An 18,607-nucleotide genomic window follows, 5' to 3' on the forward strand; every position below is an offset into this window, starting at 1 on the left:
CTGAATATCAAGCCAAAATAGAGGCACACTGATATGAATAACAATTTTAACACGTTTCTGATATAACTGGATATACATATGCAAAAAACCCACAAAATTTTTTAAAAATAAACAAAGATATTCTAAACCACATCTCACACTATATATAAAAACTTTACAATTTCTAGAAAGAAAACAACCTTTGTCTTCTTGGAGTAATCAAACATTTCTTAGCTACAACACTGGGAGCACAATTTATAAAATAACAAATTGATATACTGAACCTCATTAAAATTAAGAATTGCTCTTCCAATGATTCTGATAAAAGAATAAAAACACAAACTAGATAGTGGATTACAAAATTGCAAACTATATATTTGATAAAGATTTTTTATCTAGAACATATAAACAACTACCAAAACTCAATAATAAGAAAATGAAAAAACACAGTAAGAAATGGGCAGAACATTTGAACAAACACTCTTAATAAGGTACAAGCCATTGGCAATGATCTTGCCACCACCAGTAGCAGGGCCACTCTGCATTTAAAAGTGCCATGAAGAAAGGGTATCCTCTTATAGTCACCACCTGGAAGCTCCTGTTACTGCTGCTGCCAATTACAGCTACTCCACCTTCCCCAGCATCAGGACCACAGTGTAGACACTACTGCCCCGAATCAAACATTCTGCTAGAGCCTGGGAATTACCCTGTTCTTGCATACAACAGCTAGAACTGACTGGCATGCAATATGTGGGGGCCTGGGCAAAGTTCTCTGTCTTGGCTCTACCCTCCCTGCACCTGAGCAAACTGTCCAGGGGACCAGAGACAAACCTGACCCATTCAACTGATACCTGAGCACTTCTCCACCAAACTGCTGCTACTACCATATCACAGCAGGCACCACACATCCACACATGCCACCTCTGAGCCTGGGGACTGGCCCACCCCGTCCATCATAGCCCCTGCCAATACCAGAATGAACTGCCTAGGAGCCAGATGATTGTCCCACCACAGCTACTGCCATTGCCAACATCATGCCAGCTTCTCAGTATCCTGAGGAACTGCCTACCAACTTAGCACACTGCTGCCACCGGTGGCACCCAAGCAAGGTGCCTGGGAGCCCAAGACCTTATCTACCTAGACCAGCTAACATTGGAGCCAGCATATATCATCCTGACACTTAAGGATGGGCATGATTGGCCTGCGGCTGTCCCCACTAAAGCCTGAGGACTGGTTCACCTGATGTGCCCATCCCCAGCAAAACTGTACCACAGCTTACACTAACAACCACACCGAGGCCACTGAAGAAATCACAAACATTACTGACACTTTTTACATATGAATAAATCATACAGAGTCTACTCTACTGCACAAACACAGAATCACACCCAAAATGCCCTACCCAACCAATGGCATAGATACATATTTGGGAAAAAGCCTTACCCTGTGAAAGCAAGTTCAAAAAAATTGGAAGGAGTCACTTTATGTCAGATGCACAGATACAAACATAAGCACACAATAAACGTGATAGAGCAAGGCAATAGAACAGCTCTAATGGAACACAATAATTATTAAGTAAAGATTCCAATAAATACATTTATATGCTTTCCAGCCTGGGTGACAGAGCAAGATTCTGTGTCAAAACAAAGCAAAAAACAGAAAATTTCTAAAATCCTGGAAAAAATAATTCAAAATAATGATATTAAAGAAGTTGTGTGATACACATAATAACATGGAAAATAAGCAATAGAAAGAAATTTTAAAAATCAGTGTATGAATAAGCAGTTTATCAAAAAGATTGATATCATTAAGAACAAAATAGATATTATAGAATTAAAACATTCATTGAATGAAAGCTTCAACAATAGACTATATCAAGCAGAATAGAAAAATGTAGAAATTAAAGACAGCTCTTTTAAAATAACTCATTTAGACAAAAATAATTTAAAAATAATTTAAAAGAATAAACAAAGCCTATGTGACACATAGAACACCATAATGTGACCAAATATTATAACTGTTAGTGTGTTAGAAGGCAAAGAAAAAGTGAAAAGGAAAAAAAATCTATTTAACAAAATAACTGCTGAAAACTTCCCAAGTCTTACAAGAGATTAAGACATCCAGATACAGAAAACTCATAGATCCCCAAACAGATACAGTTTCAAAATGTCTTCTCCATGGCATATTATAATCAAATTGTCAAAAGTCAAAGACAAAGAGGCAATTCTAAAAATAGCAAGAGAAAAGCATCCAGTCATTTATGAGAGAAACCCCATCAGACTAATAGCAGATTTCTCAGCAGAAACCCTACAGGTAGGGAATGGAATGGTATATTCAAAGATCTGAGAGATCACCACCAAAGATACTAGACTCAGTGAAGTTTTTCTTCATAAATGAAGAAGAAATAATGTCTTTCCTACAGAAAAAGAAGCTGAGTAAATTCATCACCACTAGATGAGACATGTAAGAAACTCTTAAATCCTATAACTGGAAGTAAAAGGACAATATTTATCATCGTTAAATTACATGAAGGTATAAAGTCCACCTGTAGAGCAAACACACAAATGAAGAAAAGATAAAATGTTACCACTACAGACAACCATGAAACCACAATGATAAAGAATATGAGAGAAAGGAAGGAAATTTCACAAAACAATCGAAATCAATTCGTAAAATTACCAGAATAAGCTCTCATATATTAATAATAACGTTGAATATTAATGTATTAAACTTCTCACTTACAAGATATACACTGGCTATATAGATAAAAAACATGACCCATGGATATGCTGTCTGCAAGAAACTGAGATTATCTGTAAAGATATGTATAGACAGAAAGTAAATCATTGGAAAAAGACATTCCATACAAATAGAAACCAATAATGATTAGGAGTAGCTACACTAATGTTAGATAAAACAAACTTTAAGTTAAAAACAGTTCAAGCAAGACAAAGGAGGTAATTATATAATAATAAATAAATAAATTTCAGAAAAATCAGAAAGGATTTAACAAGTCTAAACATATGCCCCCAAAACCAGCACACCCAGATACATAAAGAAAATATTATTAGATCTAAAGAGAGAGAGAGGGATAAACTTCAATACAGTAATAGTTGGAGAGTTCAACATCCTTCTTCTGCATTAGAAAGTTTATTTACACAGAAAACAAAGAAATACTAGCATTTAGCTGCACACTAGACTTCTATAGAAAATTTTATTCAGCAGCTAGAAAACATATCCTCCTCATCAGTATATGGAACTTTTTTTTATGATAGACCATATGGTAGGACAAAAAAGAAGTCTTAACAATGTTTAGAAAATGAAAATCATATCTAATTTATTCTCAGATAGAAATAGAATAGCATTAATATTCAATAACAAGAGGAACTTCAGAAACTGTATGAGTACATAGAAATTATACAATACGCTTCTGAATGACCACTGAGTCAAGGAAGAAATTAAGGAAAAAAGAGTTTTAAAGTTGAAACAAATGAAAATCAAAACACAACTTACCAAAATCTATAGGATACTGCAAAAGCCGTTATAAAAAGGAAGTTTATAGCAATATACACATATTGAAAAATAGAAGATTCTAAATAAACTATCTAAAATGTATCTCAGGGAACTAGAAATAGAATAAAAGAAACAATAAAGAACAGAGCAGAACTAAATAAAATTGAGACTAAAAAAATACAGAAGATCAAAAAAATAAAAATTTGGTTTTATGAAAAGGTATACAAAATTGGAAAATTTTTAGCTAGAATAAAAGTAAAAGAGAGAAGACCCAAATAAATATAATTAGAAATAAAAGGAAACACTACAACTGATACCCCAGAAATACAAAATATCATCAGAGATTAATATAAACAACAATGTACTAATGAGTTAAAAAACATATAGGAAATTGATAAATTCCTGACACATACAACCTACCAAGGTTGAATCAAGAAGAAATAGAAAACTGTAACTAATGAATAATTACTAATGCAACTAAATTAGTAATAAAAGTCTTAGAAGTCCAAGGCGGAATGGCTTCACTACTAAGTTCTTCCAAACTTACACAGAAGAACTAAAACCAATTATCCCAAAGTATCCTAAGAAATTGAAAAAGAAAGAATGTTCCCTAATTCATTCTATGAGGCCAGCACTACCTTGATACCAAAACCAGGCAAGAATGCAACTAAGATACAAAACTACAGGTTAATGTTCCTCATGAACATAAGACACAAAAGGTCTCAACAAAACACTGGCAAGCTGAGTTCAGTAATACATCAAAAAAAATACACCATGATTAAGTGTAACTTATCCCAGAGATATAAGGATTGTCCAGTATACACAAATCAACAAATGTGACATATCACATCTTCAGAATGAAGAACAAAAACTATCTTATCATCTCAGTAGATGCAGAAAGAAAACATTTGATAAAATTCAACACACCTTGATGATAAAAACTCTCAACAAAGAGGCATGAAGGGAACATACCTCAACTTAACAAGGCCCATATATAATAAATGTGCAGCTAACATTATATTGAAATGCAGAAAGCTTAATATTTTTTTCTTTTAAGAATGGAAACAAGATAAGGGAGTCCTTATTTACCGTCTCTTATTCAGCATAGTACTGGAAGTCAAAGCCAGAGCAATTAGGCAAGAGAAAGAAATAAATGTCATCTAAATTAAAAAAGAGAAAGTCGAGTTGTTCCCCTTTGCAGAACATAAAACTTTATGTCTACAAAAAACCTAGACTCCACCAAAATCTCAGATCTGTTAAAAAAAAAATAAGTAAAATTGCAGGATACAAAATCAGCATAAAAGAATCACTAATGTTTCTGTACACCAATAATTAACTACATGGAAAAGAAATTAAGAATCCAAACTCATTTATAACAGCTACAAAAGAATAAAATACCTAGAAATAAATTTAACCAAGAAGATGAAAGGCCTCTACAAGGAAAACAACAAAATTCTGATAAAAAAAATTAGAGAACACAAGCAAAGACAAAAACATTCCATGCTCATGGATTGAAAAAAATTCACATGATCAAAGTACCACACTACCCAAAGCAATCTACAGAGTCAATGCAATCCCTATCAAAATAATAATGGCAAATATTACAGAAATGGAAAAAAAAATCAAAAATTCATGTGAAACAGAAAGAGAGCCCAAATAGCCAAAGCAATTCTGAGTAAAAAGAAGACAGCTGGAGGCATTATACTACCTGACTTCAAAATACCTTCCAAGGCTATAATAATCAAAACACCGTGACATTGATATAAAACGGACACACAGACCAATAGAGCAGAATATGGAATTAAGAAATAAATCCACATATTTATAGCCTACTTAGTTTCAACAGTGGTGTCAAAAACATACATTGTGAATAGAATTCCTTCTTTAATAAATGGTGTTGTGAAAATTGGATATTCACATGCAGAAAATGAAACTAGACCCCTGTCTCTTGTACAAAAATTAACTCGAGATGTATTAAAGACTTAACTCCTGGAATTATAAAACTAGAAGAAAATATAGAGGAAACACCTCAGAATATTGATAGAAGTGAAGATTTTATGGATAAGACCTCAACATCACAGGTAATGAAAGCAAAAATAGACAAATAGGAATATGTTAAATTAAAAAGTTCCTTCACAGCAAAGGAAATAGTCAATAAAGTGAAACAATAACCTGTTGAATGGGAGAAAATAGTTGCCAACTATTCATCTGACAAGGGACTAATATTCAAAACATACTAGGAACTCAGATAGCTCAAGAGAAAAAAAAAGATCCCATTAAAAAACTGGGCAAAAGATGTGAGTAGACATTTTTTAAAAGAAGACATACAAATGGCCAACAGTTATATGAAAATATTATCACTGTCATTAATGATTAGAACAATGCAAATCAAAACCACAATGAAATATTATTTTATTCCATTTATGATGACTGTCATTAAAAAGGCAAAAAGTAATAAACGCTATCGGGGATGAAGACTAAACGGAACTCTTATACTCTGTTTACGGTTATGTTAATTAGTACAGCCACTATGGAAAACAGTATGGAGATTTATAAAAAAAAATTGGTACAGAAATACCTCAGAGGTTTAACTGGCTCACAGTTCTGCAGGCTGTAGAGGAACTACAGAAGCATCTGATTCTGGGGAGGCCTCAGGAAGCGTCCAATCATGGCAGATGGCAAAGGGGGAGCAATTACATCATATGGTAAAAATGGGAGAACGTTAGAGAGAGAGTGGAGGGGGAGGTGGCACACAGTTTTGAATGACCAGATCTCATGAGAACTCACTGTTACAAAGACACACCAAGCCGTGAGGGATCCACCCCCATGATCAAAACACCTCCAGCCAGGCCCTAACTCCAGCATTGGGGATTACAATTCAACATGAGATTTGGGCAGGGACAAATAGCCAAACTATATCACTATGTTAATTAAAATAACTCAGGCACAGAAAGACAAATAGTACATGCTCTCACTCACATGTGAAAGGTATAAACATTAATCTCATGAAGGTAGGGAGTAGAATGATAGATACCCTGGATGGGAAGGGCATGTGTTGGGGTGTGGGGGGAAGTAAAGAGAGATTGGTTAATGTATACAAACATTCAGTTAGAAGAATTAATTTCTGATGTTGATAGCAGAGTAGGGTGTCTATAGTTAACAACAATTTATCGCATACTTCAAAATAACTTGAAGAAAGAACTTGAAATGTTTGCAACATAGAGAAATGGTGAATACTTGAAGTGATGGATATCCTAAATACCCCGACTTGATGATTACACTTTCTATCCATGTAACAAAATATTGCATGTACTTCATAAATAAGTACAAATATTGTGTACCATCAATAAAAAAATTTTAAACAGATTTGAAACACACTTCACCAAAGAAGACATATTTATGACAGATAAGTACAAAAAAAACATTTAATATTATTATTAGGGAATTGTAAGATAAAAATCACAATCAGATACCACCATACACCTATTAGAATAGCTAAAACTTAAAAAACTGATCTTATCTGGTGGCGATGGGGATGTGGAAGAACAAGCACTCTCATACGTAGCTAGTAGAAATATTAGAAATATAAAACGTACCACCACATTAGAAAATAATTTATCAGTTTCTTAAAACGTTTAAGCATATCTGTACCATATGATCCAGACATTCCATTTTAAGCCCTTACCCAAGAAAAATGAAAGCATATTTTCATACAAAAATTTTACATAAACTTTCATAGGAAGTTTATTTATCATAGGCAAAATCTGAAACATATCTCATTGCCTATCAAAAGGTAAATGAATATAGTGTGGTACATTCATAAAGTTGGTTAAAAAAAAGGAGCACAAGTGATTTAGGATAAGTGATGTTTTCTTAAGAACTATTGGAAAATGGAAACTCAAGTAGATCAGGAAGATAGTTGAAAATCACCGAACAATACAAAAGATATATCAGCTCACAAATTTCAAGTCTACATTACTGAGGTCTGATGTTACAATGTATAAGATGGTTCAATTAATCAATATTATTTATTTTTCTGTTTATTCATTCATTCATCCTTTCTTTTACCCAACCACTAATTCTGTTCATTTTTTAAATAATTTATGCTTGTATAAGTCAGAGATCTCCAGAGAACAGGAGAAATAGGATATATTATATGCTATTACACATATTACTTCATATATTATATTATATATACATTATATAGGTATGTGTGTATATATATTATATAATATAATATATATATAAAGAGATTTATTATAAGAAATTAACTCACATGATTATGGATGTTGACAAGTTGCAAGATTTGCAGGGTGACCTGGCAAGCTGCAGATCCAGGCAGGAAATGATTTAGTTCCAGTCCAAGTCTGAGTGAATGAAAACCAGAAAAGCCAACTGTAGTTGATGATATATTTCCAGTTCAAAGGTTGGCAGGCTCCAGACCCAGGAAAAGCTGATGTTTCAGTTAGTCTGAAAGGAAGGGAAAAAAATGATGTCTCAGTTCAAAGGATGTCAAGGAGGAAGAATTCTCTCTTACTCAAGGCAGGGTTAGCCTTTTTGTTTTGTTCTGTCCTTTACCTGGTTGAAAGGCGCCTACATACCTCCATTAGGAAGAACAAATTGCTTTACTCAGTTTATTGACTTAAATGTTAACCTCATCCAAAACCACACTCACAGACACAAACAGAATAATATTTGCCCAAATATCTAGGCACCCTGTGACCCAGTTAACTTGATAAAATTAGCAATCACAAACTCAGCCCTTGTCAACTATATGTCAATGGTGTATGATACTCATACACATGTCTTTAAGCCATACTCAATCTCCAAATGATAACAAGGTCTTAATTCTGACTAGCATGTACAGCTAGCCTGTGCACAACTGAAAATGTGCTAACTCCTTTTCAAGAAGAGATGCAGTCCTTGAATGATGTTTTCTTTTCTTCTTGTTATGTTGTACCTTAAATACTATGATGTAAAAATTAACAATACTTAAACACTAATGATATATAGTTAATACATCATGCTCTACATGATAAAGTAATAAGAGAGGGAAGTAATCAAAAATATTATACAAATGCACATACGTATACACATATATGTAATATGTTTACATCTGTGTGTGTGTATATATATATATGCATAAATATACTCATAACAAAATTAGGAGAAAACACTCACGGCAATTACTGGCTTCATTTCTGAAACTGGTAATGTGCTTATAACTGGTATTTATTACTACTTTCCTCCACTGTCCATTTTGTGTTCCCTTTCCTTTCAGCAAGCATTTTATCTGGTCACAGTCTCACACTTGATGAGGTGACCCAAACCTTCACTCTTGAAGGATCTGAGACATTAATAATCCTGCTTGAATTGATTGTAATTTCTTGGACCTTAATCGTAGGTCATAGAGGCACTAGGATCCCCAAATGGCTGGGCAGCCGTCTTGACTTCCAATAATGGAATCATAGTTGTGTCTTCCAATGGAAGCATTTCTCCCTTTGGAACTAAGACCTCTAGGACGGCAGGGCACAAGGTCTTCAAACAGAAAGTTCAAATTTTGTTACTAAGTGATTAGAGGTAACCATAAATGGTGTCACTCCCATTTCCGCCACTTGATTCCTGGACCTGTGAATCTTAGCACCATATATTAGATGCTGATTTAGAGCATATGTAGCCTTCTGGAGAATTTTGCCTCAGCCCATCACGTATTTCCACCTAGCTGGTGCTGTAATTGAGTCTTCAAAGGCTATTCCACCATTCTATCAAGGAAGCTGCTTTAGAATGGTGGAAAACATGGTAAGAACAGTGAATTTCATGAGCATGGGACCATTGTCATACTTCTTTGGCTGTAAAGTGAGTTCATTAATGAGAAGGGATGCTATATTGAATAACATAATGATAAATAAGCCATTCTATAAGTCCAGAGATGGTAGTTCTGATAAAAGCATTGTGTACAGGAAAGGCACATACATATTCAGTGCAAGTATCATTCCAGTAAAGACAAAACATTGTCCTTTCCATAACAGAAGTGGTCCAATGTCATCAACCTGCCACCAGGTAGTTGACTGATCACCCAGGGGAAGAGTGCCCTGTTGCGGGCTCAGTTTTGGTCTTTGCTACTGGAAGATTTGTCACTTAGCAGTGGCTGTAACCGTGTTGGCTTTGGTGAGTAGAAGTCGTTGTTGCTGAGACCATGTATAACCTCCAGTTCTGCCTCCTTGGCAGTTTTTATATGAGCCCATTGGGCAACTAGTCAGCTGGAGGAAGAGGCTGACTAGTATTCACAAAGTAGGTCACCCTATATACTTGATTATTAAAATCCTCTTCTGCTGAGTCACCATTGTAAGCTTTCACACGAAACATACATATTTTCATGACTTTTGCCCACTCAGGAATATCTATTCATAGAGGTCTTCCCCAAATTTTCTTGTGACCAATTTTCCAATAACATTCCTTGCAAGTCCCTGACTATCCGGCAAAATCATTGGCTAGAGCCCACAAATTGATATATAATTGCATGTTTGACTATTTCTGCACTGAAGCAAGGTGCACTCAGGTGCACTGCCTGAAGTTCTGTCTACAAGGAAGGATTTCTTTTCACTACTGTCCTTCAGGGATGTTCCAGAAAGGGGCTGTAGTGTTGCAGCTATCCCCTTTTTATTGGTGCCAGTATATCATGCAGAACATCTGTAAACCAGGTCTCAGTCTTATTTTTCTCAGTGAACTGATCAAAGAACTTCCCATGTAGCTGTAGGTATGGTCTGAGAGAGAGAAGGCAGTGCAGCAGAAGTGGGGACCATGGGCATTTGGGCCATTTCTTCACATAGCTTACTTGTGCTCTTCAGGGCTTGCTCTGGCCTGATTATATACATACCTCTTCCATTTGATAATGGAATATTGTTATGCATAGCCAGCTTTATGGCTTAGAGAGTCAGATAATAACTATAAGATTGGTTTTGGCCAAAACCACAATTACTTTTACATCAACCTAATAGTGAATGGAGGCTCAGGTCTCATGGTAGCCTAGTGGCCCATGCTTAAATGTTCAATCTCTACTAACGCCTGGTAGCAGGCAAAGAGGCTTTCCTCAAAAAGAGAATATTCACAGAGGATGGCAGGGTTTTGCTCCAAAATCCTAAGGGCTTACACTGCAACTCACTTATAGGAGACTCCCAGAGGTTCTTTGAATTCTTCTAACATTTGAGAATTAATACAATAATACAAAATATAGAAAGAAGAAAGCAAAAAATAACCCAAACACTAGTCATTGTTTCTGTATCTCTTCCAGCATTTAATTATGCATATTTTGAATTCATTACATTGCTAAATCATAGTGACAATGACTTAATGTGTATTGCTTTTAATTTGTTTTAAATTATTTATGTTTAAAGTTTTAATATTTTGTTTTGAGACAGGGTCTTGTTCTGTCGCCCAGGCTGGAGTTTAGTGGCATGGTCATGGGTCACAGCAGCCTTGAAATCCAGGGCTGAATCTATCCTCCCACCTAAGTCTCCTCAGTAGCTGGAAATACAGGTGCACACCACCATGTCCAGCTAATTTTTGTATTTTTGTAGAGACAGGGTTCATCGTGTTGCCCAGGCTGGTCTTGATTTCCTGAGATCAAGTGATCTACCCACCTTGGCCTCCGAAAGTGCTGGGACTACAGGCATAAGCCACCATGTCCAGCCAAGTTTTAATAAATATTTTAATGGTAGCATAGTTTTGCTTTTAAAAATCAACTTAATATACTTACATTCATTTTTGCCATCTATGTGTTGTTGCTTTTTATTTTTTTAATTGCATAATTATTAAAAAATTCAAAAATGATGTCACAATATCAGCAACATTTTACCTAAAAATTCATATTACTTTGTTATATGAGTTATGTAAAAATAAAAAAAAAACAAAGAAAACAAACTAAAAGTCCTGAATTTCAATGATCAGGGGTAAATCATGACCTCTCCAGAATTTCATAGGCCTAACATTTCCTTATTGAGTTACACTTAGTTATAAGTTATGACTTTATTATGACACACTCCCAGTTCCTGACCTGATTTCTTTGGCTTTTGAGATGCTTGAAAGACAAGTGAGGGAATAAATAAATAAATAAATACAGCTCAACCAAAAAAAAAAAAAAAAATTAAAACAACCCCTAATGAGGAGAGTACCTGAAAGATATGAGAGTGATTCATTGGTGAAAAGAATGTTGAATTGTGCGTTAGGTGCTTCTTTTAATTGCAAGAAGTTATTCAAGGGAGGCTTTTGTTGCAGATTGATTTCCATGTACACCAAGAAGAGAAAAAATATTGGATAAGCTTAAAAATAAAATAGAGTTAGGTTAGAAGCAAAAATGTGTGATGTGACAGTACCAAAACCTGTTGCTGAGAATCTCCTAGGGACCAAGAATGGAAATTCTTAAGGATGGCAGTTTAGAATTTTCTTTTGAAAAAGAAATAATTAAGTGTTTTGTAACTAAAGATCACGGTTGTAAACTTCTTAATACTGAGAATTTTCAAAGGCAAATTGGGGCATTTTTTAGAAGGGTAAAATGTACACACTTTCAAAATATTTGTCCAATGCTAGAATAGAGTTGTACATATCCTTATAACATGTAAGCTGTGCAGCAAGTAAGCGTCAAACTATAAAAGATTAGATTAATGTGCTAAACAGCTGTCTTTAAATTTTAAATAGCCAGGGGAATATAATTCTGTGATTAATTGAAAACATATTTAAAAAGAATAAAATCTAACTTATGGAACTTCAAAATATCCTTTCAAATTCCCATTTCCTATTTGACTCCCGCAGATTACTTCCATACAGTGCTCCCACTGACTAGAACAGAGATCCTTAGTCAAAAGAGAAATACTAGTGATGAACAGACAACTACTGGGCCTATTTGTGTACTCTGAAGGGAAGTATGGTCACTTACCTTAACTTACATATATGTATAAATATTTATTCATATCTAAGTCAATATGCACCAAATCTTAGATACAGGATTTGTATATGTTTCCCCATTACTACACCGTTAGTTTGAGAAGGAAAATCACAATTAAACCAATGTGATCACATAAAGGAGTCAAAGTACAAGAAATAATATATAGGTCAAACACTAAGATTTCAAAAAGGTTTTACACTTAATTTATCAATCACAGCTTCTCAGAGGCATAGAAGCCATCAGTCTAATGGAATGCAACACACCTTCCCCACTTAGTTTATTATACAGCAATTTAGGGGCCAATTACATTGTTGAGTGTTTCAGTCCTCTGCATCATCACAAGACCTACCCTGGGTCAAGAATATACTTTTTAAACTAATTATCCTCTTTAATTCCTAACTGACATATTCTAAGTATTGTATTTTACTTTCCCATAAACAAGTAACTGGTGAGTACATTGAAACACGTTGTGCTGTAGATTTTTCTGGGGGTATTAGCTGTTTGGCAGCTTCCTCTGAATCATCACAATAAAGGTCATCTTTCATCTCATCTAGGGTGACCCTATGTTAATCAATGTGTCTTCCACTTCCATATGTATTCATTTCAAGAATTTTGAAGGTTTAGTCTAACATCCCTTTTTAAGCTTCATTCAGACATTATGCTAGAGACCAGAGGTAACATGCATAGTGATATGTTAATTGTTTATTGTCAAAATTACATCGGCATAAAAATATTAGCTGAGTGGAAAATCTTATAATTTTAACATGCAGCATATTCTATGCTAATAATCCTTTAAATCAAAAACTTATTTTTGAATTTTTAATAAAGCTAAAATAAATTGATACATTATTTGATGTGATGTTATTTAGCTTTCTTTCTTTTTTTTAAAACTTGCATTTCAATCAGTTGCTTAAAAGGTCATGTTTAATGTCACATTAGCACTTTTGCAGAAAGATTTATTTTTGCTTAGGCTTAGTATAAAAGGATAAAAACTTTCTGGGTGTTCGTTCCAAACAGTACTTTCCAAAAGTTCCCCCCACAGTTTCAGCATGACTCCATTAAGGTGTCCATCTCCAGCCAAGGACACCTAACCACTATAAAACTTTATAACAAAAAGTACTAAGTAATATTTCTTCATTGTGTCTTTCTCTTTTGGCTTTTTAAAATTTCTTACACAGGTAGGTAAACATTAGATATCAATGTAGATACAGGTGTCATATCTATATAGTAATTCTAAGCAGAAAATGTTACTAAGATAATGTTCTCTTAAACTAGATTAGTATTAGAAAATTATATGAATCAATGTGTCTTTCATTTTTTTTTTGAACATCAAAGTAACTCTCATTCCTTGCCTCATTTTTTTTCTCCCACTGGTGAATAGCTTCTCCAAGGATAATTAAAAAAAAAACAAAAAAAACAAAACAAAAAATCCCATAATTTTCTGATGGCCTTACTGAACCTCACTGAAACTGAGTATATGATTGGTGCAAAAGTAATTGAGGTTTTTGCCGTTACTGTTTATATTAGGTTGGTGCAAAAGTGATTGCAGTTTTGCCATTACTTTCATATCTCTTCTGTGCTGTGCAACTGAAATCATTCATGACTTTAGTGAATCAGTCAAGCAAATGGCATGACAATAGTCCCTGCTATTTTTGACATCCTGGCATCATTTCTTTATCATTTACAGTACTCCAGTTTGGTGTTGGTATGCTGCTTACCACGTACTAAGTAATCTATGTAATTTAAACCCTGAAAAATAACAAACTGGCATTTGAGAATCTCTACTTCTCATATCCTGGGCCATTATCATTACTTAAGGATATATGAGGCTTAAGGAACATTTGATCCTGGTTTCGGAGAGAAAAAAGTTTCCTGTTCATTTATAATAATTATCAGGATAAATAATCTCTCTTCCTGATTCATGTTAAACCTGGAAACACGTAGATCTCAAAGACACTGATATACTTGTTGATTCCTCAGGAAGTCTTAGCTTTATGTTTAAATAAATACAATGGGAGACATAAAGAAGAGAAAAAGTTTCATTTCTTCATTCAGTGATGAGGTTCTGGATGATCCTAGATAAATCATAAGAGCCAAAAACATCCCTTTATTTCTTAGACCAAAAACTTTTTACATTTATCCCAACAATGCAAGGATGAGAAAACCTCCATTTCTCACAATTAAAGTATAATTCGAACATTTTTTATTTTTTTCTTATATTTTTTACTAGTTTTTCAAGTTCGACACCTGCTATGTCTAGTTTGGTCTTATAGAGTATATTTGTCTATACTTATTTTATGAACTGATAATATACTGTTTACAAGTTATTTGGCACCAAATAGTAAACCACATGATATTCATATTTAATATTTTCACATGAATATATTAAATATAAGGAACAGATTTTTACTTATCTTTTATATCCTCTATAATACATAGAAGAATGCTATATGTCTTGACAGGAAAAGAAAATTGCTGAATTTCTAAGTTGATGACTGTCACTACATTTTTCATATATTAAGAGCATATTAATGAGGGCTAACACATGCTGCTTTATAGTAAAAATGATGGAACCGTTAAACTAAATTGTACTTTAATTTGTCATTTAATATAGGCAGAGAAAACTGTGATGAGATGGAAGGAATTGCTGAACCTCATATACATCCTTCATCATTCAAAATATATTAATTTCTGTCATTTTAAAGGTAAAAAATCAATTTTAAAAACAGTAAGAATTTAGAGACATAAAGCTATATTTTCTAAGTATTTTAGACAGGTACAATTGATTCTACAATGTGAAATACAGGTTAATAGCATTCAAAAATCATATACTGCCATCCATCTCTTTCATCCTGATGCTGGGGAAAATATGATTACTTAGCATTCTTTTCTTAAACCAAAGTTTCATCCCAGTCCTTTCACAGCTTCCACTCCCACATTTTTATCTTGATCCATAGATTCCACCTCACTGCTTTTGCATTTGGAAAGCTCACCTTAGATTTTTTTTTGTCTTTTCACTTCAATGATATCATAGATGGATATAATAATCATGAACCATGCTTAATTTTTCTTATGTTTGAATTTTGCCATGATAAATTCTGAGGCTAATTTTGTCAATTATAATTGTGATTTTTTTTCTATTTATATGCCTAAAAAACTTGTAGTGATATTTGAAATTTATTTTCTAAGCAGGATATGTCTGGGTCTCTATCATCACATTTCAGAATTTCTTATCATGATGTGTCCATTAAACTTGACCTTCCTCATTCATGTTCATCTGAAGCACTATCTTCAAACTTCTTTATTCCTATGTATTTCTCTATATATACTTATCTATCTCAGTTTTCTAGCTTTCATCGCATCATTTTATTTTGGTCTCTGAAAATCTATCATTTATTCTCTTCAGAAGTGATTTGCAAATTACTTCTAAAATCCTCTTGGTTTTTTGTTGTGGTGGTGTTTTTTTGTTGTTTGTTTTTTAAACTCAAACCTGTCTGTTTACTTAGGATAGTATGCCTTGGAGCTCTCTTAAGCGATAGAATTTTTCTAACATTCTGGACTTTTCATGGCTTGGAAGAGAGCTAGGTGTCCTACTTGTTCCACATTGTCATTTCCGATTTTTTCTCTCCTCCTTCCTTCAACAACCCCACATCCTTGAAGTTTGTGTCATCAGGCTTACACCACTGACTTTACCACTTTATTACTACCTGGTATAACATTCCAGATTATCCCTCTTTTTTTATTTTTTGAACACTTCAGCTTCACTGTGTCACTCCGTATTAGTCCATTTTCACACTGCTATAAACAAATGCCTGAGACTAGGTAATTTATAAAGAGAAGAGGTTTAACTGACTCACAGTTCTGCATGGCTGGGGAGGCCTCAGAAAACTTACAATCGTGGTGGAAAGCAAAGGGGAAGCAAGCTTGGACTTTCTCACATAGTGGCAGGAGAGTACGTGCGAGAAGGAGGGAGTGCCACACTTTAAAACTATCAGCTCTCTTGAGAACTCACTATCACAAGAACAGTATGGGGGAAACCACCCCATGATACAATCACCTTTCACCTGGTTCTTCCCCATCAACACGTGGGATTATGATTCAAGATGAGATTTAGGTGAGGACACAAAGCCTAACCATATCAAACTCTATCCCTCTGCTCTTTTATTCCTTTCATTCTTCTTGCTGACATTTGAAATCAAACGAAAACCCTTGACTCCTAATTTCTTGCCCTCCTAAAGTCCTAGCATCTTTTTAGCAACAAATTTCAGCCAGTTACTTTCTAGCAGGACTTTTTACCCCAAGTCCAAAATCCTCAGTTCAGTCATTTGATCCTATTAGGAGCCTATAATTCACTACTCTTATCAGTTTTAACCAATTCATCACTTCATCCATGTCCTATTTTCTTCCTCCACTTATTTCAGATTCCTCATCTTAGAAATTTATTCAACCCTTGCTTACAGCCTTAATTTTATTATCTTTCTCTCTATCAGCAAAAACCCCAAACCTGGTTAATCTTCAACATAAGGACACTTCATAGAGCACGTGTTCAACTGGATGTCACAGGAGAAAAATCACACAACTTTGTTGTCATGATTTATTGAAATCTTTTTTTCAGTAGACTTCATATGGATTTACTTTATACCTATTGGCTGTATTATTGTGTTCCCAGACAAATATGCTTTCTCACCCTCCAAGGCAAGCACTCCACAGTCCTTCTCTCCACAAACCTCCTATACCCCCTTGCCTACAAACTGTGTCTTTGGGTCATACCTGGGAAAATTTAAGGGATAAGTTGGGAAATACCTGGTTATTCTACCACCAAATCCACCCACCAACCTGTTTTTCTACTTTCTTGCTATTTTCTCTTCTGGTGGAAAAAATGCTCTGGTGTCTCTCTCATGTCAAGTTCTTGGTGCTATTCTGATGTCTGACATTTGTTGCCTTCTATAGCTGTTGCACCAGTATTTCACCCTGCTCCTGTCTCCTAAATGTATCCCTTTTATTACTATTACTTATATTTACATTTAGACATGTCTAAATATTTTCTGATTAAAATCAATGGTCTGCTCCTGTATCTCTTTCCTGATGGTACTATGCTTCTCATTAAGAGCAAGACCTGGCTGGGCGCGGTGGCTCACACCTGTAATCCCAGCACTTTGGGAGGCCAAGGAGGGCGGATCACGAGGTCAGGAGATGGAGACCATCCTGGCTGACACGGTGAAACCCCATCTCTACTAAAAATACAAAAACTTAGCCAGGCGTGGTGGCGGGTGCCTGTGGTCCCAGCTACTCGGGAGGCTGAGGCAGGAGAATGGTGTGAACCCAGGAGATGGAGGTTGCAGTGAGCTGAGATCGCACCACTGCACTCCAGCCTGGGCAACAGAGCAAGACTCCATCTCAAAAAAAAAAAGAGCAAGACCTTGTCTGAGTTGTCTGTTGGTGAATACTCCTGGACCCGAAGTGCCTGCAACAGAATCATACTCCATTTATGTCTTTGAAAGAATAATTGCATGAATAAATGAATTGATGAATTTATGTGTAGTACCTCATATAAATACACATACAGTATTCCCAGAGAATCGCTTCAGAAAAGTTCACAAATGTCAAAAAATTATTAAATTTTATCCAAAAAAAGTATAGACAGTACAAACATATTAATTGTATTATTTTCTACGAGACAACAGCAAGGAAAGAGAAAGAAATTAAAGTGTATTTATTTAGTGTCATAAATTAACAACTGGTGAAATGATTGATACTGTTTACATGCCTCTGATGAGATGGGCTCAGGTAGGTTAAGTCACTTGCCTAAAAATTCCAGAGCTTATTAATTTATGAATTTGCTTGCAAACCCAAGTCTGGGTCATTCCCTTTGCACCACCACGTGGAAATTTATAGCTGAAACAGTGGGGTTTCTTGATGGATTTAAGAGAATGAAAGAGAAAGGAAAATTGGTTCTTCTTCCTCACCTATTTCTTTTATTGTCTCATCTATTTTTGTTATTTGTTAGGCTTAACCTCCCAATCAATCTTTATTTATTTACTTTGTACTTTTGAAGATGAATACATTGTTACTTCTCATTGTAATCTCCACTAACATCTGTATTTCCTTTATAACTTAGTTGACCAATTTCTTTTCTCTGCCTTAGATTATAGCCACCTCCATTGCCTGAACCCT

The sequence above is a fragment of the Homo sapiens genome, chromosome 4, assembly GCF_000001405.40.
Source record: "Homo sapiens chromosome 4, GRCh38.p14 Primary Assembly".
Classification (NCBI taxonomy): domain Eukaryota; kingdom Metazoa; phylum Chordata; class Mammalia; order Primates; family Hominidae; genus Homo; species Homo sapiens.